This window comes from Homo sapiens, chromosome 2 (genome assembly GCF_000001405.40).
Source record: "Homo sapiens chromosome 2, GRCh38.p14 Primary Assembly".
Lineage (NCBI taxonomy): Eukaryota > Metazoa > Chordata > Mammalia > Primates > Hominidae > Homo > Homo sapiens.
The window spans coordinates 31392856-31417268 of NC_000002.12; the positions used below are offsets into that span (position 1 = coordinate 31392856).

The window sequence follows — 24413 nt, forward strand, 5'->3', positions numbered from 1 at the left end:
AAAATTTCCCTTGAGATTTTCTTTTTGACCATGTGTTCTTTTGAATTGTGTTGTTTAATCTTCAAGCATTTGGGGGTTTTCCAGCTATCTTTCTGTTATCGATATCTAGTTTAATTTCATTTTGGTTTGAAAGCAGACATTGTATGATCTCTATTCATGCAATTTAAATTTGTAAATGTGTGTTTCATAGCACAGAATGTGGTCCATCTAGGTGAATGCTCCACGTGAGCTTGAGAAAAATGTCTTTTCTGCTGTTGTTGGCTAAAGTAGTCTATAAATGTCAATTATATCCAATTAATTGATGGTGCCGTTGAGTCCAACTATGTCCTTACTGATTTTTGGCCTGGTGCTGTCCATTTCTGATATAAGGGTGTTGAAGTCTTCACATATAATAATGGATTCATCTATTTGTCTCTGCAGTTCCACCAGATTTGCCTCATGTATTTTGAAGCTCTGTTGTTAGGTGCACACACATTAAGGACTGTTATATCTTCTTGGAGTATTGATTCCTTTATTATTTTTAATGCCCCTCTTTTTCTCTGATAACTGTTTGCTCTGTCCAAAATTAATATGCTACTTCCACTTTCTTTCGATTAGTATATCATGGTCCACCTTTCTTTATCTACTTAGTTTTAATCTATCTGTGTCTTTTCATTTAAAGTAGGTTTCTTGTAGACAACATATAGTTGGGTCTTGTTATTTTCATCTACTCTAACAATCTCTGTCTTTTAAATGGTGTATTTAGATCACTGACATTTAAGGTAATCATTGATATAGTTGGATTAGTATCTACCATATTTGTTATTGTTTTCTATTTGTCGTCCTTATTCTTTGTTTCTAGTTTTGTCTTTCACTCATTTTCTGACTTTTGTGGTTTGAACTGAGCATTATATATAATTTCATCTCCTTTCCTTTCATAAAGTATCAATTATACTTCCTTTTTTCTTTTTTTTTTTTTCTGGTAGTTGCCCTAGAGTTTGCAGTATACATTTTTAACTAATCCAAGTCCACTTTTAAATAACACTACACCGCTTTACAGGTAGTGATTGTATCTTATAATAACAAAATATTTCTAATTTTTCCCTCTTGTTTATTTTATCATTGTTGTCATTCATTTTACTTATACACAAGCACATATATATATACATATGCACACATAAACAAATGCATGGTTGCTATGATTGTCTTGAACAAATTGCTATCTGTTAGACCAATTAAGATTAAGAAAAATAAAAATTTTTATTTTACCTTTACTTGTTCATTCTCTCATGCTCTTCCTTTATGTAGATCTGAGTTTCTGGCCTACATCATTTTCCTTCTCTTTAAAGAACTTCTTTTAATATTTCTTACAAGATGGGTCTACTGGCAACAAATTATCTCAAGTTTTGTTTGAGAAAATATTTCTCACTCGCTTTTGAAGGATACTTACGGAGGTTACAGAATTTTAGGTGCTTTGGTTTTTTCTTTCAATACTTTAAGTATTTCTCTCCATGCCTCTTGCTTGCATGGTTTCTGGGAAAAGTCAGATATAATTTTATATTTGCTCTTCTATAGGTGAGGGGTGTTTTCCTTTGGCTTCTTTCAAGTCATTTTTCTTTACCTTTGATTTTTTGAAGTTTGAATATCACATGCCTTGGTATAGTTTTTGTTTGGTTTTGGGTTTTGGTACTTATCCTGGTTTGTGTTCTCTGAATTTCCTGACTCTGTGGTTTAAAATCTGACATTAATTTTGGGAAATTCTCAGTCATTTTTGTTTCAAATATTGCTTCTTTTCCTTTCTCTTTTTCTTCTTTTACTGCTGATATTCTCGTTACACATATGTTACATCTTTTGTAGTTATCACACAGTTCTTATTTGTTTCTGTTTGTTTTCATTCACTTCCTTTTCTCTGTTTTTTGGTTTTGAAAGTTTGCATTGTCATATCCTCAAGCTCAGAGATTCTTTTCTCAGCCATGTCCAGTCTACTAATGAGCCCACCGAAGGTAGTCTTCAATTTGTTATAAGCGTTTTCAATCTCTAGCATTTCTTTTTAATTCTTAGAATTTCCGTTCTCTGCTTACATTATCCATCTGTTTTTGTATGTTATCTATTTTTTCCATTAAATCTCTTAGCATACTAATCATAGCTTTATAAAATTCCTCATTTGTTAATTCCAATATTCCTGTCCTATTTGACTCTGGTTCTGCTGTTTGTTCAGTCTCTTCAAATTGTGTTTGCCTTTGACTATGCCTTATAATTTTTGGTTGAAAGGTGGACATGATGTACTGGCTGAAAAGACCTCATATAAATAGGCCTTTAGTTAATGTATTGGTAAGATATGAAGGAGAAGTATCCTATAGTCCTAGGATTAGTCTCAGTTTTTTGGTGAGCTTGTGCCGCTCACCTGTGAACTTCACAAGCGCTTCTCAGGGTTTTTTTTCTCCGTTTGGTGGGACAGGATGGCTGGAGGGGGCTGGGCTTGTGTATTTCCCTTCCCACAGGTGAAAGACTAAAGGTCCTGGGGTTGCGTATTTCCCCTCCCCAAGGTAGGCGAGGATCTAATATAACCTCAGAAGTTTAGGCTGCGGTAAAATAATTTCTTCTGAGGACAGGCCTTTTTAAGAAGAACAGAATGCTCTGGCATATTCCAAAATGGTTCATTTTTCCCACTCCCTACCAGAAACACAAGGAGATTTTTCTCCAACATTTACTGTGAGGACCTGGTGGAGATCCTGGAGGTAAAACTCACAAAGGTGTAGAGCACCCGCTCCATGACTGCATCCCCCTGGAGTTTATATCCATGTATAAACTCCAGCAATTCATCAGTTAGTCCTTACATCTTCCTATCCTGGCAAAGGTTCCTGCAGAGGTTTCTGCTCTGATATGCCGTGTCTGCCTGTCTGTCTCTCCAATTTTTTGGACAATGAGTTGTCCTGTGACCTCATTCCTCTGATGGATCTAAAAACAACTGTTGATTCTTCAGTTTGTTCAGCCTTTTTCTTCTTGTTTAGATGAAATAAAGACTCCTAAGCTGCTTACATGCCAGACCAGAAACTGGAAGTCTTGCTTGTACCTGTTTAATGGTTCCTCCATTTCTTTCCTTGTCACCAGATAGCTGTGGTCACTTCTCGCCGTGAGCAGTGTGCCCACCTCTAGTTGACCCTCCACACGCTTTCTAGTGTGTGCTGTGGACAGGAAAGCTAGTAACCGAGTTTGTTAGAGCTGTGTGTAAAATAAAAGTAAAAAGGCTCTGAAGAAACATCTCGGAGACCTCCGATGAGTAACATGCATTAGCTTCTGAGCACCTTTTGTGTGTCAGGCATTTTGGCTGCTCAGAGCTCTCAGTCTTGCTCTGCTCTGCACTGCAGGGTAGCTGAATTGAGGGAGGTAAGTTCTGCATGGTGAAATCAAGAGCGATTTCAACTTCCAGGAGGGAAGGCAACTGCTATACTCAAAAATCCTTCTCTTTTGAAAAATTAAGAGGACTGATTACATTATATCACTTTGAGCAGGTTCTTATGAAGTAAATAGAGGCAAGATTAACAATCTCTGGGTCTCAGGAAACAGTGAGTAACTTGGGAAGATTATATAGAGGCTACTGGAAGAAATATACCAGCTTCATAATTTATAGTTCCCATTTATTGAATAACAGAAATGTGCCAGGCATTGTTCTAAAAGCTTTTCAAGAAGTACTTAATTTTTATAAACACAGTAAGGTAGATATTCTAATGAAATCACCTAATAAAATCACCATTTTATTAGGTTGGTGCAAAAATAATTACAGTTTTTCCCATACTTTTAATGGCAAAACCACAGTTACTTTTGCACCAACCTAATAGAAACAAGGAGACTTGCCCAAGGTCGTGCATCAATTAAGTGCCTCAAATTGAACCCAGGTCTGCAGAATCTGAATTTGTGCTTTTAGGCATTTTCATTTAATTCCACACTTGTTAATTCTTCATCAGCAGCAGCATTAATCAGAGTGTGGTGTTTTCCATCCTTATAAGGTCCTGTCTCCTTGTTTACCCACCCCTTCTTGGATTATACGATTATACAGACACAGCACTCTTTTTCATGATGCTCCAACCCTAAAGGTGAGTGGAAAGCACAGGAGTCTGTAACTCCCCTGGACCCAGAATCAAACTGAAATGAGATGGTTTGATTTGGAGTCAGGATTAACGTGGCCCAATTGAGAAGTCAAGTAAAACCTGGGGGGAGATTAAGCCAAGAAAGGAGATGCCAGCTCTCTGCCTTCCTTGCCAGATGGCAGGTGTGTGTATGTGTTTATATAATCAATGCCCACACATCCGGCTGTGACTTCTCACTCAGAGTTATATGAACATTGCAGGGGTTCACAAACTGTCTGGAGATCTAATTACCAGTTTCATAAGCCCAACAGAGTGCCAGCCACAGAAAGCAGCCAGGAGAGGGAAGGAGGAGGGGTGCAAGTGCTGAGCAAGGCCACGTTGTTATTAAATGCTACATTCAGCACCTGTGCCATGGGCTGAGCCTGCCAGTCTCCAAGGGAAAGCTGCCAAGCCCAAAGGCACTGCCAAGCTCAAAGGCACTCTCAGGCGGTGAGCCTCTTCCAGGAAGCCGGTCTCCAGACCATCACTGGCAGAAAGTCCCATGCTATTCATAAGAACCCTTCCCTGAATAAGAATGGCAGACTCTACTCCCCATGCCAGATGTCCCCAGAGGGAAGACTCACTAACTGGTCATCTTATCATCATTGTTTGTAGACCAGAGGCCCTTGGTCTCCCTCCCCACAGTGATTTCTGAGTGTTGCCATTTTAGAAGCAGAGACACTGATGTTCTGGGGTCCCCACTTACCCTGGCAAAGGTCCGGAAGCCCTGGAGGATGGGTCTGTAGCCTGTGCAGCGGCACAGATTTCCTGTGGGCCAAGGAAAAAACTGCAATGTCAGTGCAGGGCCCTGGGATGGGTGAGGAGTTTGTGACTTTGCTTGCAACTAAGTTGGGTGCTCTCTTTACCAGGCTGCATATTCTGTTACCTCTGTCTGGAAGGCCTCTTGGCCTTCTCATATCCTGACTTCAGAAAAGTTATCATGATTTCAGGAAGTCTTTCCTAGAATGGAAGCCTTCCTAGAATGCCCAGACTGAGTCAGGTACCTCTCCTAAGTGCTCCCACAGTGGCTGATCACAGCTTCATCAGTTAGCCTATCAGACTACATTACAAACTCTCCTCTTCAGAGTATGAACTTTTTGAGAGTAGAGGGTGTGTCTTTTATCCCTGTGGCATAGGATGTGACTAAAATAACTGAATAAATGATGGAAATGGTGAATAGATGGGGAGGCTTCTCTATTCAATTCAGAGAAGCAGACACATTGGTGGTCTTGGCCCTGCAGAATCCTGTTCTGGTGAAAACTGAGAGGGAAGGAAATCATATCACTAGCCCCCGTGGAGTTTTCTAAATGACGTCTTCCTGCACCAGCCATGCACTGCCAACCCCACTCCAATACTGGTGGAAGGCAGACAGACACCTCAGAAATATGGACACAAAGGCAGGAGACCCCAGGAGGTCTCCACACCAACCAGGAGTTCTCCCAAGTAAGAGAGGGTTGGCTTTCTAGCAGATCTTAGTCACCACCTTGTTGGGGGGCCTGAGCCCTTCCTCCAAAGGGTAGTCCCTCATGCTTCTCACCCTGGCACTTGCCCTGACCTCTGCAGGGCCTCGTTTGCCATTCCACCTCCTAGGCTGTGCCTGAAGGCCCATACCTTGGAAGGCATTCTCAATCTCCTCCATGGTGGGCTCGGGCTGATTCCGGAGCAGTGTGTACATACTCATGACGATGCCAGGGGTGCAGAACCCGCACTGGGAGCCGTGGCTTTTGGCAATTCTCTCCTAAAAGATACAGATGACATAGACACCTGGGATGGCAGAACCCTCCCAGGCTCCCCAAAGGACTCGACTGGAGCCAGCACATGTTGAGAGATAGTGGGGGTAGTAATCACTGCACAGAGTCAAGCCCCAGTGCCACCATTTACCAACTGTGACCTTGGCCAGTTTCCAAGCCCTCTGAGTCTAGGTTCTTCATCTGTATGATGAGGACCATCCTTGTAGTTACCTCTAGAGCTGCGATGAGGATTAACTGAGATATTCATGTAAAACCCTTAACACTGTACCTGCATATAGCAGGCAGTCAGCCAGTGTTAGCTATGACTAGGAAGGTCCCTTCAAAGAACAGTGACTATCATAACCAGAAGGCAGCTTCTGAATGGATTGGGTGTGGCATATGACAGAAACAGTCAAAGGTGATGTCTAGATTTTTGTCTTGAGCAATTGGGTGGATGGCTTTGCCATTGACTCAGATGGGAGAAGACTGGGGAAGGAAGCCATTAGGAAAAGAGTAGGGTTTTCTTAAGTTTGAGATTAGACATCCGTATTGAGATGTCAAATAGGCAATTGGAAATGTAACTTCTGAGGGGAGGTCAAAGCTGAAGTTGTAAATGAGAGTATAGGGATGAAGAAGGGGAGGGGCCCAGGTCAGGGCTCAGGGCACTGCAGCAATTAGAGACTGAGCAGAGGAGGAGCAAGTGTGGGGAGAGAAGGAAAAGCCAGAACCACAGTGTCACAGAAACCAAGAGAAAACAAATAAATGGACAAGAAGTGGAATCTGGCTCTGAAGCCTATTTGTAGCCAAAATAAGTTGATTAGGAATAAGAACCTGTACCATTGGATAGGGAGGATTTTAGGTTGATTATACAGATACAACCTAATTTGGTTTGGCTGTGTCCTCACCCCAATCTCATCTTGAATTGTAGCCCCCATAATTCCCATGTGTTGCGAGAGGGACCCTGTGGGAGATAACTGAATCATGGGGGTGGTTCCCCCATCCTGTTCTCATGGTAGTGAATAAATCTGACGAAATCTGAAGGGTTTCTGTTTTCACTTAGCTCTCATTTCTCTTGTCTGCCACCATGTAAGATGTGCTTTTCACCTTCTGCCATGATTGTGAGGCCTCCCCAGCCATGTGGAACTGAATCCATTAAACTTCTCTTTCTTTGTAAATTACCCAGTCTTGGTTATGTCTTTATCAGCAGTGTGAGAATAGACTAATACTTGACTCCTATGTTTAAACTGTTTATTCTTTCTTTCATCTGTTTGTTTCAAAGAAAATAACAAGCCTTAATTAACCCTCTCACGTCTCCTTCAGGTTGGACAAGTTTAGTAATTTCCCCTCTTCCTGCCTAAGAAACAAATCTATAGATGGGAAGCAATCCCACCCCGACCTGGCTGGCCTCACATGACTGGCCCAAGATGCCACTCCAAGGAATAGTACCAGCCTCTCCGCAGGAGGCTCCAGCTCCATCGCCTGAATGACATGTCTCCTCAAATAATCAAGGGAGGATTAAGACCTGGGCCAAGCTCTGGTAACTTCTTTTTTTTTTTTTTTTTTTTGAGATGGAGTCTCACTCTGTCGCCCAGGCTGGAGTCCAGTGGCACGATCTCGGCTCACTGCAAGCTCCATCTCCCAGGTTCACGCCATTCTCCTGCCTCAGCCTCCTGAGTATCTGGGACTACAGGCGCCCGCCACTCCGCCTGGCTAATTTTTTGGTATTTTTAGTAGAGATGGGGTTTCACCATGTTAGCCAGGATAGTCTCGATCTCCCAAAGACCCCAAGTTTCCTCAAACAAAATGCTTTGGGGACAATGGCCGTTCCTTCCAACAGGGCTCTACTCCCCTTTCTTTCCACTCAGCCTAACAGCATCCTGATTGTCTCCCCAAACCAGTCTAAGATTATTACTGCCCATTTGCCCCAGAAATGTTTCGGATTTCAATGCATTTTCAGGTGGTCTGATACCATCAAGGAGAAAGCCTTGCTCAGGCACTAAATCTCTGTCATCTTATTTAGCACTTGCTAACCTCCAGTCTAATGAAAGAGGAGGCCTAGCAGTTTACATTTGTACTATCTGCGGGTGGGAGGTAAGGGGTGCAGAATTACCATTGCAGGGAGTAAGTGGGCTTATAAACAAGGGGCACAGATAATTAAAATTCAAATCTGGGAAGGCTGGGAGTTTCCTAAACACACTCCAGAACAAAGTGAGGAAGCTCTTCTGCATCCCTTCCTCCAAGTTCTGGACTGGTCTAGCCACCAGATTCAGTTGGCCTCTTGGGTCCCTTCAGATCATGCAATGTTATAACCAACCAGCTCACAGGAAGGAGCTTCAGGCTTGGGTGTTTCTTCTTTTCACCTCACGGTACCCAGAGGAGATGGGGAGGTGGCCAGGGTGAAATGCCTTCTTAGATTAAGCAGTGAAACTCTTCCCAACAACCCAAAGCAAGTCTGCAACTTTGGCATGAGCCTCCCTGCAGAGGAAAGAGCCTGATCTCAAGAGCACAGCTCCCTTTCCTCTGTTTACCTGCACAGGATGCAGCCTCGTCTTGGTGCTTCCTATTCCTTCCACAGTTGTCACTGCAACATGGTGCAAGGAGCAGATGGGGGCCAGGCAGGCATTGGCAGAAAAGTGGCTAGAACCCCAGATTAAGGTCATTCCATTTATTGTCCACTCAGATCATCAGAATGGGCCTGACTGTGAGCTCTGGAGGACTTTGTGAGGCTTTATGTTACGTCTCTCCGCTCCCATTTATGTTCTTGTCTCTTCTACCAGTGTCCTCACCTCTCCACTGAAGACTCTGGGAAAGGAACAAAGGAAGCTCTCCTTATAGGTAAAGCTGAGCCCCTCCAGAGTACTGTGGGATCAGGCATCAGAGCATCCTCAGCCTCTGAGCAGGAGCAACGGAGCCAGGGTCACTTTCAGTCACCTCTTACTCAGCCTGACCCAGGAGGCTGAGTCAAGAGGAAATTTCTCTGGCAGGCTGCAGCCTTAAAGCATGCTCCTGCCTGCAGGGCTGTTCCTTAGCTTCCAATCACTTTGCTTCCCTGCATTTCCTCGCCTCTATTGCTTTCATTTCTCTGTGGGGAAAGGGGGAGGAAACCCCCAGGCAACATGAGACAGCAAGCCCTTAGCTAGAACTTCCTTGCATTCTTCTGTTATTCATCACTCATTCACTTACATTCAGCATCAGTTATTGAGTGCCAGACATAAGTCAGGCACTCTGCTGAGGGCTGGGAAAATAAAGATGAATAAGATGAAAGCTCTGCCCTTCAACAGACTGCAGTCAACTGAGAAAACCAAAGTCCATATGAAGGTGCAATTTAAATCTTGTTAAAGTAAATTAAAAAGGAGACCAGGCCTGAAGACTCAGCAGAGGAAACCAGTTAGGCCTCACAAGTGACCTAAACTGTGCTTGATTTGCAGCAGAGTCTTAACTTGAGCTACTTCTTACGAATATCTTTATATTAAAAAAAAGCCTTACGATCAACCAATCAGAAGTAGTCAACAAACTTATAACTATAGTACTAGGGACTTTCCAGTGGGATAGACCAAGTAAGGCAATTGTATAATTGTAACCAATCAAATAATTTCTTTGCTTTTTGCCTGTGTCCATCCTACAAAAACCTCCTGCTTGCATTTCCCTGGTGGAGCTCCTGAACTGCTTCTAATGTGGAGCTGCTTGAGCTCATGAACTGTTGTTTTCTCAAATAAACTGTAAAAATTGTATCATGCCTGAGTTTACATTGGGAATGCTGTGCACAGGGCACTATGGGACCAGCACAGTCAAGGGGCACCTAACCCAGTCTTGAGAGATCCAGGATGGCTTCCTGGAGGGGGTGATATTTTTGCCCAGTTGTAAAGAGCTAGTAAGAGTTAGTCAGATAGAGAAATCCTAGGAGAACTTCCCAGCTTAAACAAAGACCAAGCAATTAGTGGGCCTGTGTCATTGGTATTTCACAATTATCTCTGCTTGAATGGAGTGCTGGGCCCATGGTGAGAAAGAAAACTGGAGAAGAAACCTGGGGCATACTGTGCAGGGCCTTGCCCGCTAAGCAAAGAGATTTTGTCCTGGGGGCAATGAAGAGCTATTGAAGGGCTTTATGGAATGTGATATAAATGTGGATTTTAGAAAAGTCATTTTATCAGCAGTTCGGAGCCTGGTCAATATTATAAGCCTAGAAGATACTTGCTAAGAGATCATTCTACAGTTTTCCTGTGCACAGATTCTCCATAAAAACAGGGGCTCACACATGCGCACATGCACATACACACATACACTCATGCACTCCCTCACAAGCTGGTCCTGCATCGCAGCCCCCATGTGGGTGGTCAGCCAGCAGGCAAAGGATACACGATCTTGTTCTGCAGACGATCATACTTGGAGAGCATCACTGTGCAAGCCCCGCAGCCCCCCTCTCCACAGCCGAGCTTGGTTCCACTCAGCCCCACTGGGTGGTCAAGAGTTAAGGAGAATGAACTCAGGGAGAGGAGTCTGCTGGGTTGCTAGGAAATGCCTGGGCAGAGCTGTGGGCAGAGCCATTCATTCCCACACGTGCTCAGGCCCCTCAACCAAGGAAGGCAGCAGGCCCACTGGCCTCCTTATTCAGAGGGGCTGCACTGCACCCTAGGGAGGCAGGGAACACGGCCATCTCCACTGCACAGAAGAGCAAAGGCATCAGAACCCCATGGACAGCACCCAAGTAGCATCTCTTGGGACATGAGTTCTAGGACTGGTCAGTCCTAGAGCCTTCTCTTGGGTTGAGGTCTTCTATGTGTGAGCAGGTAAATCATACACCTGAGCATACGGGGCAGTTCTCACATCACTCCCAGCTGGGCACACCATGAAGCCACTTGGGCCAGAATGAGACATTGATCTGTTCTGGGACCTCTGAGTCCTTGCTTTTCACTCTGAACTTTTTGGGCTGATAAGTCCCCAAGAATCAAAATTAGGGCTAGACCAGAGGCTTTTGAATATTTGGTCCAAAAGATATGTGAATGGAAATTAAAATAGAGTGGTTTTTTTAGGTCTGGGTCCAATATTGGGCCTCACTCTTACATATACTTGCAGAAAGACCATCTGCTACTTTGAGTTTTAAAAGTGCCTAACTGGTAAGCTATTCTAGAGAACAGCTATTGTGGAGGTCACTTTCCCTGAGTCACATGGCTGCTTCTCCCTCAGACCTGCAGGCCTCTAAGCCACCCACTACCTACTGAAGATGGAGGGAACTGAGGATATAATCGCCTGGTCACTTCTCTCATTTTCAAGACAAAATTTAAAAACAATGATATAACATCTTATTTTTGAAAAGCACTTTCACCTAGATACCTGTTTGACCTCCAGAATGATTTGGTTAGCAGGTAGGAAAGAAACTTCCTCACAGATTTAAAAAAAACAACAAACTGAGACCCAAGAGGTAACGTGGGCCACACAAGATGACACAGGAACACGTTACCCTGCCGGTGTGGCCCCATCACAGCCATCGGACTCCAGACTGGGTGAGCTCCCTTCATCACGCTCCTTCCTCCCCAGCACACCTGGGAAGGTTTTCTGTGTCCTAGTCAGGATATATGCAGCTCTCAGCAGGTCAAACAACTTTGGGGGCACCTGAAGACGAATGGTGGCACCTGAAGATGAATGGTGGCAGTACAAAGTCTAGCAAGGTCTTCTTCCAGCCTGGAGACCTTTCTGGAAGCTAGTGTAAAAGTCAAGGCTGGAGTTTTCTCCCCCATCTGGAACTCCCATAAATTGACTCTCAGCACAGATAGCCATAAGCTGCAAGGTCATCCTACTTATGTGCCAACTTTCAGTTTTGCATTTCATTTAAGATGTGACACAGCCAATTGCTGATAAGGAATTTCTGAGGCTTCTGGGCCTTCAAAACTACAATGGAAATGATTAAAAAATTAAAATTTGTTTTATTATTAGAAAGCTAAAATTGATCTCAATAATCTCTGAGAATGAGCTTCTCTTCCCAGACCTCCCAGGTAGATGGGCTGTAAATGGAGTTCCATGCAATCACCTGATCCGATCTAGTGACACTTTCACTCCCCAGCACCACCAGGTTTATCTTCTGTGAACCTCCAGATACACCCACTTAAGGTAAAAAATCCAGAACAAAGTACACCAAAGCCAACCACTGTACTGTCTGATAGGAGGGGAGCAAACCAGAGTGAAAGCATGGGCTCCAGTCTCACTTCTGTGCGTGTTATAATAATCTTTGCTGTCCCCAAATATGTCACTGGAAAGACCCACTAGACACCCCCGCTAGGAGAAGGAGGGTTTTGTTGACAGAGGTCAGGATGAGCACAGTCCTGCTCACAGGCCCCCTGGAGAGTTGCCAGTGCGGGTGAGAGGTTGGGAACACAGCTCTAGGCTTTGGTGCAATCTCCATCACTATTTCCCCAGAACACACTAGCAAAAGGCAGGTCACTTCACATATCAAGGCCTCAGTTCCTCCTCTGTGAAAAGGGAGTGTTACGCTTCCATGGGATTCCTGTGGAGATTGAGGTGAGCTGCACAAATCACTTTGAATCCTGCCTGTATATAGGAAGTGCTCATTAAATATTAACTCCAATTATTATTATCGTTTTAGTTCCAGGGTCCCAGAATACTTCCGATACTCAGAACTAAAGGTAAAGGGGCTTTTCCAGAAGCCCCACCCACACTGAGTGAAGAGCAGCACCCCAGTCTTTCTAAGGAGTCCCCCCACCCTCCAGGGCTCCCTGTTTGCTGTTTCTACAATGAATGCTACCTGTATAGGATTCTTACCTCACGCATCCTTTTCCCAATAGACACATGTTCCCTTGCTTCCCTCCACCTAGGCAGAGCTGGAAACATTCCCCAGGAACTCCATTTATGTATTAAGCAAATGTCACCTAAGGAAGGCCCCCCTCTTCCCACAGAGGAATGACCATGAAGCTCACCAAGGCTAATGAGGACCTTTCTACAGGCCCTGGATTAAACCTTGGCATTACTAGAGTCTTAGCGGGGAGACACCTCGAAGATCACCACAAACAATCCTCTCATTCAGTAGCTGAGAATTTCAGATTACAGGTGCAACTAAAATGCAAGTGTCCCAAGTCCTAATCCAGTGCTCTTTCCTCCACACCTCAAGGCCACCCCACCAGTCACTAGGAAACAATGTAAGGCCTACAGAATCAGTCACCATTGCCCCCCTTCTCCGTCACTCCCACTCCAAAGTCAGGATACACTTTCTTCTCAGGTAGGCCAAAAGGGTTGTCTCTGGATCTGCATTTTTCTCCACCACCTATTAAAATAAATGAAAGAAAAATATATCATAGGTATACTTAGTCATCTTTCTGCAATTAATTTCTTCCTTCAGTGTCTCACTCAATAATTTGTAGAGTTAGTAGGAAGTGTGATATAGTTTGCACTCTGCCCCTCTAAATCTCATGTTTAATTGTAATCCCCAGTGTTGAAGGTGGGGCCTAGTGGGAAGCAATATGATCATGGGGGCAGATTTCTCATGAATGGCTTAGTGCCATCCCCTTAGTTGTGAATTAGTTGTCACGAGATATTTAAAAGTATGTGGCATCACCCCCTTCTCTCTCTCTCTTGCTCTTACTGGCCATGTGATGTGCCTGCTCCCACTTTGCCTTCTGCCATGAGTAAAAACTCCTGGAGGCCTCCCCAGAAGCCAAGCACATGCTGGTGTCATGCTTGTACAGCCTGCAGAACTGTGAGCCAACTAAATCTCTTTTCTTATAATTACCCAGCCTCAGGTGTTTCTTTATAGCAATGCATGAATGGCCTAATACAATGTGCTAAATAGATCATGAAAACTAAGGTATTTTTATGGCAACTCCATAAGAATGAACCTATAAACTACAGCCAGACAATGTATATACTCAAATCCTTAAATTCTAAAATTGTACCTCAATGCTCACCTTGGGACCCACCACAGAACATGCAGGCATTGCACCTTCCACGCTGGCTCGACCAAGGCCAAATCCCCTTCAAATAAAACCTGTCATCTCATTTCAACTGCTAGATCACACCTGTGAATTTCAGGGGCATCTGAGAGCATGGCATGCAGATCTCGGACTTTGCCTCTTTGAGTATACAATCTCAGATCCTGCATGTGACTGTGGAAGGCCATTCTGTTGGCCTGTGCTCAGAGCAGAGTGTTGGCATGTGATGCGTATTAGTCAACACTAATACATGTCAGAAATGAAAGAGAAATCTCAAACCAAAGATCCATCACTAGGTTCAATAAGGTGGAAAAAGTGGTCTAGAAAGTGCGATGTCAGTTCCCACTGTGAATTGTCAAAGGAAATCTACAAAAACCGATTTCAGTACTCTTCACACATTACCAAAGCTTAAAAGGGTGTATATTATTGGGATAATAAAGAGAAAGAATTCATGATAAGGTTTTCGTTGGAGGGAACTATACTACCCACACCTTCCTAAAGGAGAAGGGGAGGAATATTTGCCTCCCACCTCAAACTTAGTGAGGGAGCTTGCTTTGTGCTACATAAAAATCTAACATGCCACCTTTGCAGCATAGGGGAAGAGATAGGCTTAACAAGAAATTAATACCGACAATGACAAGTTTAAACTCCTCATTAAACTTAAGTTGGAGAGGTGGCTGTGCTGGGGTTGGTATACACTCCCGGAGCTTGGTAGAGCAGAGGATGTGGAAGTGTCGCCTATGGATGTAATGCAAGCCATTCATGAGATAAAAAGAGCTGGCTTGGAGGTCTTTAAATCATTTCCCAAAATACAGGATAGAGCATTCAATAAAGAGAGACTGTGTGGAGTGGACTTCCCCAAACTGGAGGCTGATGGAGAACAGCAGCCTGAGAAAAGTGCATCACTCATATCATGAGACATGCATGCAAATATTCCCTGTGGTGGCCCTTGAAGATCCTTGAAAGCCATCACAAGAAGAATGAAAGGTCAGCTCCAAACACCTAAAAGGCTCAGAAAGCCGGAAGCCATCTTACAATAGTACCAATTAAAGGAGAGCTTTCTTGCTATCCTCACCCCGCCGTCCTGAATTGAGACTGTTTGGCAACTTAAAAATAACCATAAGATTTTTTATTGACTAAGAGTAATAAAAAGTTCATGAAACTGCCAGAATTTGTCCTTTGAATAAAGTTTAAAGGAAAGTAGATGAAATTAATTTTCTTATGTGATTACACCCCATGAGTCCAGCTTATTCAATATCCTGGTTACAAATCATAGAAGTAATCATAAATGCACAAAATAGCAATCTTTATCACCTTTCTTGTAGACAACATTAAGAGCCTCTTAGCTTACCACCACATTGTTCATTTCTCCCGTACTGCAGTTCTGCTTTTATCACATCACATCAGTTCCCTGCTCAGTGCTTTTCATGACCACCCACATATTCAAGGTAACATCCAAGTTCCTTAGGCTGTCTTTCAAGGCCCTTTTCAATATATTCCCAATCTTCATTTTCAGCCTTTCTCCCTTCTACTTCCCTGCCAAGCTGGTCATCTTAGTGCACTAAAAATACATTTTATATCTTCTAATTCCTGTGCCTTTGACTATGCCATTCCTCTTCCACCTGCATTTTGACTTATCAGAAGACTTCAAACAATTTCTTCATAAAGGCTTTCCTTATCACTCCAGCCACAAGTGGATTGCTATAGAGAATGACTGTGCCACTCTCAAGGTGTGACAGCAGGATTACCATGGTGCACTCCATTGAACACTCTCAACAGGATACCAATGGGTATCCCAAAGGAAAAACATTTTGTAGGGAAGTGAGTTAAGGAAATGTTGGGTTAAGCAGATTGCTCTGGTAAAACTTGAGCATCAAAAGAAATAACAGCCATAATGGGCTATAATACATTAAATACAATTAAAACCTATGAGTCCAAATAGAGTCAACAAACAAACAAATGGAAGATATGGAAAAGCTCTTCCTGGCAGAAGAATGTCATCTAATAAATATGATTGGCCATCTTGTAATCAACACAATTGATCCAGTTAAGAATCATCAATGGAAATTAGTACAGCCACTATGGAGAACAGTTTGAAGTTTCCCCCAAAAATTAAGAATGGAGCTACCATATGATCCAGCAATCCCACTGCTGGGTATATACACAAAAGAAAGGAAGTCAGTATATAAAACAGATACCTGCACTCCTATGTTTTTTGCAGCATTATTCACAACAGCCAACATTTGGAAGCAACCTAAGCGTCCGTGAACAGATGAATGGATAAAGAAAATGTGGTACACATACACACTGGAGTGCTATTTAGCCATAAAAAAGAACGAGATCCTGTCATTTGCAACAACATGGATGGATGGAGCTGGAGGTCATTACGTTAAGTGAAATAAGTCAGGTACAGAAAGACAAACTTCACATGTTCTCACTGATTTGTGGGAGCTAAAAATCAAAACAATTGAACTCATGGAGATAGAGTAGAAGGATGGTATCAGAGGCTGGAAAGGGTAGTAGGGGGTAAGAGGAAAGTAGGGATGGCTAATAGGTACAAAAAAATAGAAAGAATGAAAAAGACCTAGTGTTGGATAACACAACAGAATAACTACAGTCAATAATAATTTAACTGTACATTTAAAAATAACTAAAAAAGTATAATTAGATCATTTGTAACACAAAGGATAAATGCTTGAGGAGATGAATACCACATTTTCTATCATGTAATTATTACACATTGCATGCCTATATCAAAGTATCTCATGTACCCCATAAATATGTAGATCTACTATGTACCCCCAAAAATTAAAAATTAAAGGTCTTTCCATCTCCCCTTCTTCTCTTTTCTTCTGGTTTTTATGTAAATGTTGCAATGAGCCATCAGTGACTATGAGATCAAGTGTAATACAGAACTCCTAAAACTCAACAACTATAAAACCCAATTCAAAAATGGGCAAAGGACTTGAATAGACATTTCTCCAAAGATCTACAAATGGCCAGCAAATAAATGAAAAGATGCTGAACATCACTAATCAGAACTATAATGAGATTTCACCTCATACCCATTAGGATAGCTATGATCAACGAACAAACAAATAAACAGAAAATAACTGTTTGCAAGGACGTGGAGAAACTGGAACACCTGTCCACTGTTGATGGGAATGCAAAATGATACAGCCACTGTGGAAAAATAAGTAGGACAGTTCCACAAAAAAGTAAAAATAGAACCAGCATATGATCCAGCAATTCCACTTCTGGATTTATACCCAAAATAATTGAAGTCAGGGTCTCAGATATTTATACACCTGAGTTCATGACAACGTTATTCACAGTAGCCAAACTGTGAAAGCAACCAAAATGTCCATCAATAGATGAATGGATAAGCAAAATGTGATACATCCATACAATGGAATATTATTCAACCTGAGAAAGGAAGGAATTTTTGACATATGCTACAACATAGGTGAACATTATGCTAAATGAAATAAGCCAGTCACAAAAAGACATACTGTATGATTCCCCTTAAGTGAGGTAGTTTAGTCAAATTCATAGAGACAGAAAAAATGATGGTTTCCAGGGACTGGGAGAAAGGTAGAATAGGGAGTTATTATTTAGTAAATTTATAGAGTTTGTCTTAAAAGATGAAAGAAGTTATGGAGGTGGACGGTGATGATGGTTGCCCAATATTATGAATGTATGTAATACCACTGAACTGTACACATAAAAATGATTAAGATGGTAAATTTTATGTATTTTACCACAATAAAAATTATTTAAAAAAAGAATATCAATGGATACTCAAATTAGTGGGTGAAAATTTGATGAACAAGAATTTGTATCATTCCAAATTATCTTCTCACATAGCCTCTATTAATTATAAAGGTAAAGAAAAGTTACCTTACAGTGAAGAAACGTGGTGGATAACACCTTAGCCAAGTCACCAAAGTTCGCATCACAAAAAAGACCCAAAAACTGACGTTAAAAAAACAAACATAATGACAGAATGCAGTGAGAAAAACACATTACTTCTGTGGTATTCCTGCCCCCCAAATGCAGACTCTGAATCTAATTACAAGAAAGCATAATACAATTCAATGTGAGGAACATTCTAAAAAAAAACTGGCCTGTTCTTTTCAGAAACACCAATGTCATGAAAGGAAAGCTGAGGAGCTGTTCTAGATTAGAGGAGACTAAAGACATGGCAACCAACTGCAAGGCGTAATCTTGGATTCCGGGCTGGGGTTGGGGAGTTATAAATGCCAGTATTGGGAAAATTGGAATACATTTGCATAAAGTTTATAGTATTACACCAAAGCTAAGTTTCTTGATTTCTATAAATGGACTACAGTTTTGTAAGAATATATTTATTCTGGCCAGGCGCGGTGGCTCACGCCTGTAATACCAGCACTTTGGGAGGCCGAGGTGGGTGGATCACAGGTCAGGAGTTCAACATCAGCCTGGCCAAGATGGTAGAACCCCAACTCTACTAAAAATACAAAAACTTAGCCAGGCACGGTGGTGGGCGCCTGTAATCCCAGCTACTCAGGAGGCTGAGGCAGACAATTGCTTGAACCCAGGCGGCAAGGTTGCAGTGAGCCGAGATCGCGCCACTGCACTCCAGCCTGGGCGACACAGTGAAACCCTGTCTCAGGAAAAAAAAAAAAAAAAAGAATATATTTATTCTTAGGATAAGAGCTAAAGGAACATGATGTCTGAAACTTACTGTCAAAAGGTTCAGAAATCTATCTTATACTATATATTCATTTATATTAATTATGTACATTAATATATAGAATTATTTACGTACTTATAATACATACATGTGTATCTGTGTGTGTGTCCAGAGTGAGAAAGAGAGAATAATAAAGCAAATGTGGCAAAACATTAACAGTTGGTAAAGTACATAAAGGGTATTTAGTATTTCCTTGTATTCTTCTTGCAGTTTTTCTTTAAATATAAAATAATTGTAAAATACAAAGTTAGAGAAGTAATTTATTTACTACAGGATTTCTCAAAGTTTTAAAAATTCATCCACTTATTCCATCCACACTAGTTGGACACCTACTGTATACCATGCACTGTGCTAAGTGGTTTAAGAATATCCAAGAAGAGCATCTCATGCTGCTAGTTTTCTGTGAAATACATTTCAGAAGGTATTACTTTGTCTAATTATAATCCATCTCTCTAACTAGTATATGGGCTCCAGAATGGCAAATGCCTGATCTTGGAGATCTTATTCCCCCAGTGCATATCCTGTTGTCTGAGGCCTCAGAAGGAGCTTGATAAATGTTGACTATATGGGGAGTGAGCAAGTGAATGATGAGTAAGTGAGTGAGTGAGTGAGTGAGTGAGTGAAAGTCACCGTGACGATCTCTGTAGCTGACACTCACTTCTTGTGGGGATCACTCCTGGACACCTTTGGCTGCACCCAACCTGCCAGATCCTCCCAGATTCTTCCAGGTGCCACAGTCTCAGCTAGACAGAGTGACTACTCAGAAAAGCTAGAATGCTGCCTTGCAAAAAGGCTGTCATTACAATAAAAATAAAATACTGGACAGCTCTTTCCCTTTGACTCTGACTCTAGAACAAAAGAAGATGTGAATGAAAACAATAGTCATCAAGGCTCATCACCACCACAGAAGGCCCTAGAGGTATTCGACTTCTTGCATCGAACACCTTCTGCAGGACCCCATTTAGTGAAGCCAGAGTCCTGGACAGTGGTACAAAACAAGGAGAGGAGTAGGCTCACATTTAAAAACCAAACACTGCATGTTCTCACTCATAGGTAGGAATTGAACAATGAGAACACTTGGACACAGGAAGGGGAACATCACACACCGGGGCCTGTCGTGGGGTGGGGGGAGAGGGGAGGGATAGCATTAGGAGATATACCTAATGTAAATGACGAGTTAATGGGTGCAGCAAACCAACATGGCACATGTGTACATATGTAACAAGCCTGCACGTTGTCCACATGTACCCTAGAACTTAAAGTATAATAATAAAAAAAAAGAGTCACTAAGTTCTTACAGCTTCTTTGGTAACTACTTTGCACAATTCCTGTAACAAAAGGTCTAGAATATCTTCTGAATAAAAATGAGGACAACTTTCTCACAGCTGCCATTGTTTACCCAGGAATTCCCTTGCTTGGTCTTGTTTTTACAGCATTGCTTTCACATAATTACTTTCTGCATTGCCCCTCTACCTTTCTTGCAGTTTCTGAAGATGCTACATCATTATAAATTACAAACATGGATATTCATCACAGAAACTGGCAGTAGTAGAAGCTTCTAGAAATAATAGGATTTGATGTGATGGTACCATCGAAAAATTTAAAATTACTCTCCTAAAGTGAAAGTAAAATGCAAGGGAAAATAATTTTCCCCAAGCCAGATTTACCTTGAAATTCTTCTTTCTAGATTTAGTGCATAACAGCAAGCCATCCCTGAAGAAGAGCAGAAACTTATACTTTTACAGGTTAACCAATGGTTTGGTTTAATAAATAATAAAACCTCAGAGTAAGACATGACCTTGGACGTCATTGAATCTAGCTGTTTACCCAATGTAAAAATTACTAATAAAAATTCCAGAGATGGCTTTGTGTAAGTAGCTCTCCTAGAAAGCCAATTGCACAATGGTTTCCTAGATTTCTACAATGTAATTGCTGAAGGAAAGAAGTTGTTTGAAATGCTGGATGCAAAATCTTACACTTGAAAGCTTTGCCCTACTTCTTGGGTTGGTACCAGGTGCCAACCCTGAAAAGGATGCAGCTCAGAGAGGAAACTCTGAACCCAGAAGAACATGGCTGTCCCCATTCCCCAGCACTTCCCAAAGGCACCACTCAAAGAGAGTCCATCAATCTTTGGAGCACTGACGTTGAAACAGTTCATGAAATTTCTTTTACAGTCACCCAAACACATCCTGGAAATTTAAGACCTAGGAGTCCAGTGAAGCACATTATTGTTCTTGAAAATTATACCAAAAGTCACTCAAAATTACATCAAAAGTTTCTCAACTCAATGCAAAAATGCCAATATAGAAAGACAAATAAAATTGCCCTTCTTTGGGGGACACTTTGGGCACATTCATCACGCACAGTCCACACAGTAAGTTACAATGTGCAACTATGGGACTCTTTTACTATCCTTTTCATTCCTAAGTGGGAAGTTGAACAGGTATGAGCATCTCAGCAGTGTTGTAGGAGGGCAAATGGAGGCTAGTGACCATGTAATATGCTTGCCCCCTCTCTCTCTGCACCACATTAAAATTTGCAAAGATTCTCACTCTTGTCCAAGGGCTGGTACCCATGTCACCTTCCCTAAGTCCCTGTGTACCAATAAGGTAAATTCAAGTAGGTAACAGATTTGCAGCTTACATGTAGAACTCACTGTGTGTGGGTGGGGAGTGGGGGGAATGCAGGAGATGCCCTTTATGAAAAAAAAATTGTGGTTTGCCACAAGGTGTCAGTATATGTCACCTCACAGTGAATCAGGACTGGCTGTTAAACCTATATATATAATATATTAGAATCAAAGGCTGCGTACATCTTATATCCTGATAAAAGCAGGAAAACACATTCCTGTTCCTTCTCTCTGTAAAGAGAGCAACGTAAATTTTAGGATATATTTGATTAAAGACAGAAATAGAAGTGTGGTGATGACCTCAAATCTCACCTAGAACTCAACTCCCCTTTCTCATTCTGTGCCAATCTCCACTACTGCAGAGAGTTGGCAGCTAGCTCACAGATGCCTCTCTGCTTGCCTCTCTCTCCCTCATTCTTTGGCCTCTGAGTATCTTGTCTGTGCTCTAGCCCCGAGAAGGTCTTCTTCCCTAATGTTACCAAAATGCAGCGACACCTTTAAAGCGAGAGAGAGAAAGACAGAACAAGTAAGAGGGGACAGGAAAGACAGAGAACAAGATATGGCTCTGCCAGAGGACACATTTCCCCTCCCAGGGAGAAGGGACACAAAACCAAAGGTCAGCTCCTACTTACCTTTCTGCCATTCACAAAGAAAACCAATTTGTCTGCTGTCATTGTCACAGGTTGGGGTCCCCGAACTCCAGGTACCTCACTCCTAAGAGACACTGGCAGGTAGTTATCACTGCTCTGTGACCTGAAAGTTACGCCTCCCAATAAAATGAAATAAGGTCCACCAATGGGAGGGAACCAGCTCAGAGCTTCAGGGCATGAAGAGTTCTTGGCAAAAGCCACTGGTTTACATAATCAAGGAAGTGCAAACAATCACACACAGCAAATTACAATCTCCACACCTGTGTCAAAGAGCACAGGAAACTACATCCAGATATCAGTAAGGTTGTTGACTTGGCACTAGGCGACTGTGGGTCTTGGGCGCTGCTCTTATGAAACCTGCTTCGTCCTCCCACTTGCTGCAAGACAGAGAAGGGGAAGACAGAGGAGGGAAAGGACTATTCTCAGAGTCACTGCTAATAGAGCTGATTCACACCCTCTGTGTCTACATTTGTCATTTTACCATTCAGGTTTACAGCAACACAGACTGACTGCATGAATGCAAGAGTCATTCTTTCACAGCCTGGTGGAGCAGAGAGGTCACAGGACATGGAGCCCCATGAACCTGACTCAAATCCTGGCATTTGACCTCAGCATGTTACTTACTACCTTCAGAACTCAGTTGCTTTCATCCTGTACAGGATCATAGAATGATATCAAGAATAGAAGAATGAGGGACAAATGACATTTTGGGAGTGCCTTGTAAATTTGCAAAGAACCAAAACATGTATCACTGTTGAAAAGACATCTTCAACATCTCAACAAATAAAATCCTAATAGCAAACTATTTTTGAGATTTGTCTTTTATTTGTTTCTCTCAGGAAAATATCCTTGACAAGTTGTCAGAGTAACTCATAAAAGTATTTCAAAACACCAAATAAATTAAAATGCTCATACCACATAGTCATAGGCTACAGTAACACATAGCTGAAAACCTTTCCCCATCCAATATCCATTAACTCTCAGTGGAAACACAGATGTGCACGTCCACTGGAGCAGCACTAAAGGGCTCTCTGCAGTCCAGCACCCTCCCAACTGCCCCTACCAGTTCTTTAGTTCAACACACACACACACGCAAAAAAAAAAAAAAAAAAAAAAAAAAAAACACACAGAGACCAGCATTCACTCTGGTCTTCTTCTGTCCTGTAATGACCCATACAGTGGCTCAGCCAGCCTTCCTTAAGTAAGACACCTCCCCTACAACCCTAGCAGGCTACCTGAGGGGGAAGAAAGGAGTATTAGGCAGATGTACTTGATATAGCAACAGCTTAGAGAAACTGAAGACTGACAGGACAACCACACAATCAACACAATGCCCCCTCTCACCACAGCCTTAATTTAACCAGGAGATGAAACTTTACTTGTTGGTTGACCAAATATCCCAGTTTGCCCTGGACTATCCTAGTTTTAGCCTTGAATCCCTGACAAATGCCTCAGAGATCCTAGTAAATCCTTCAGTCCAGGGCAAACTGGGATGGTTGGTCACTATAAAACTGGTTGTTGGCTGGGCATGGAGGCTCACACCTATAATCCCAGCACTTTCGGAGGCCAAGGTGGGTGGATCACCTGAGGTCAGGAATTCATGACCAGCCTGGCCAACATGGTAAAACCTCATCTCTACTAAAAATACAGAAATTATCTGGGAGCAGTGGGCCACCTGTAATCCCAGCTACTCTGGAGACTGAGGCAGGAGAATCACTTGAACCTAGGAGGCGGAGGTTGCAGTGAGCTGAAATCATGCCACTGCACTCCAGCCTGGGCGACAGAGTGAGACTCCATCTCAAAAACAAAACCGAAACCAAAACCGGTTGTTAAATCTGAGAGATTCCCTACCCCAGAAGCCACTTGGCAATGTCTGGGGATATATTTTATTGTCACAACTGGGGAGGGATGCTACTGGCATTTAATGGATGGAGGCCAGTAATGCCACTAAACATCCTACAAACCACAAGACAGTCCCACCCCAATAAAATGAACAACAATGAATGTCAATAGAGCCAAGCTGGAGAAATTCTGCCCTGAAAGAAAGAAGGAAGGAGCTGGGGAGAGAGAGAGACTGAGCCTAGGGCATGTTTTGTAATTAGTCAATTCTTCCAAACCCTCACACCTCTTTGATTGAGAGGCTTTTCCTCCATGCACTAATCTACCCAATTTAACAAGCCCTCCCCTTCCTCCTAGGCATTCCCCAGCCAATGCTCCAGGAAAAGCTAAAGGGACGGGCTGAGGAAAGAGCTCAGGCTTTGGAGTTCCATAGGCTGGCTTGAATGTTAGCTCCACCACTTCTGTGTGCCGCCTTTGGCAAAAATCTCTCTCTTGGCATCAGTATTCTCATTTACAAAACGGAGGTGGCCATAATTGCTTGGTAAGGACCAACTCTTAGCTGAATGAAATAAAACATAGATTAAATCTGTTGTCCACAGGAGAAACTAATGTTGGTGTGCTTCTCCCCACTCAGCAAATCTTCAACCCCTCTCTTAACTAGAGGTGAAATTCCTCTCTATTACTATGGAGCATTGAAAGATAAAAGTGAAATAAATTTTCAATAAGGGTTTGTGTTGTCATGCAGAATTTTCAGCTCTGTAATAACTAGTTGAAACCCCAAATACTG

The 24413-nt window shown here is 42.4% G+C and overlaps 1 protein-coding gene across 3 annotated transcripts in view, besides 2 other annotated features; it reads right to left on the reverse strand.

The window, feature by feature from the left end:
- XDH (xanthine dehydrogenase) overlaps positions 1–21887 on the reverse strand; it is an 80422-nt gene extending 58535 nt beyond the window's left edge. For all 3 annotated transcript variants that reach the window (XM_011533095.3, NM_000379.4, XM_011533096.3), the window contains exons 1-6: positions 21770–21887; positions 13052–13109; positions 10193–10289; positions 8365–8473; positions 5718–5844; positions 4813–4874 (exon numbers count right to left, since the gene is read on the reverse strand). In XM_011533095.3, coding sequence (XP_011531397.1) covers positions 4813–4874; positions 5718–5844; positions 8365–8473; positions 10193–10289; positions 13052–13109; positions 21770–21811 — 495 coding nt within the window. In that variant the 5' untranslated portion in view covers positions 21812–21887. The remainder of the gene's footprint in view (positions 1–4812; positions 4875–5717; positions 5845–8364; positions 8474–10192; positions 10290–13051; positions 13110–21769) is intronic.
- Positions 7460–7660: a silencer, noted in NCBI's record as "fragment chr2:31623181-31623381 (GRCh37/hg19 assembly coordinates)". NCBI's record gives its function as "represses an EF-1alpha promoter that drives an FKBP-Casp9 reporter gene in an ReSE screen in K562 erythroleukemia cells {active_cell/tissue: K562}" and the evidence as "EXISTENCE:reporter gene assay evidence [ECO:0000049][PMID:32094911]".
- Positions 23626–23675: an enhancer, noted in NCBI's record as "active region_15553". NCBI's record gives its function as "activates an Ori minimal core promoter by ATAC-STARR-seq in GM12878 lymphoblastoid cells {active_cell/tissue: GM12878}" and the evidence as "EXISTENCE:reporter gene assay evidence [ECO:0000049][PMID:35858748]".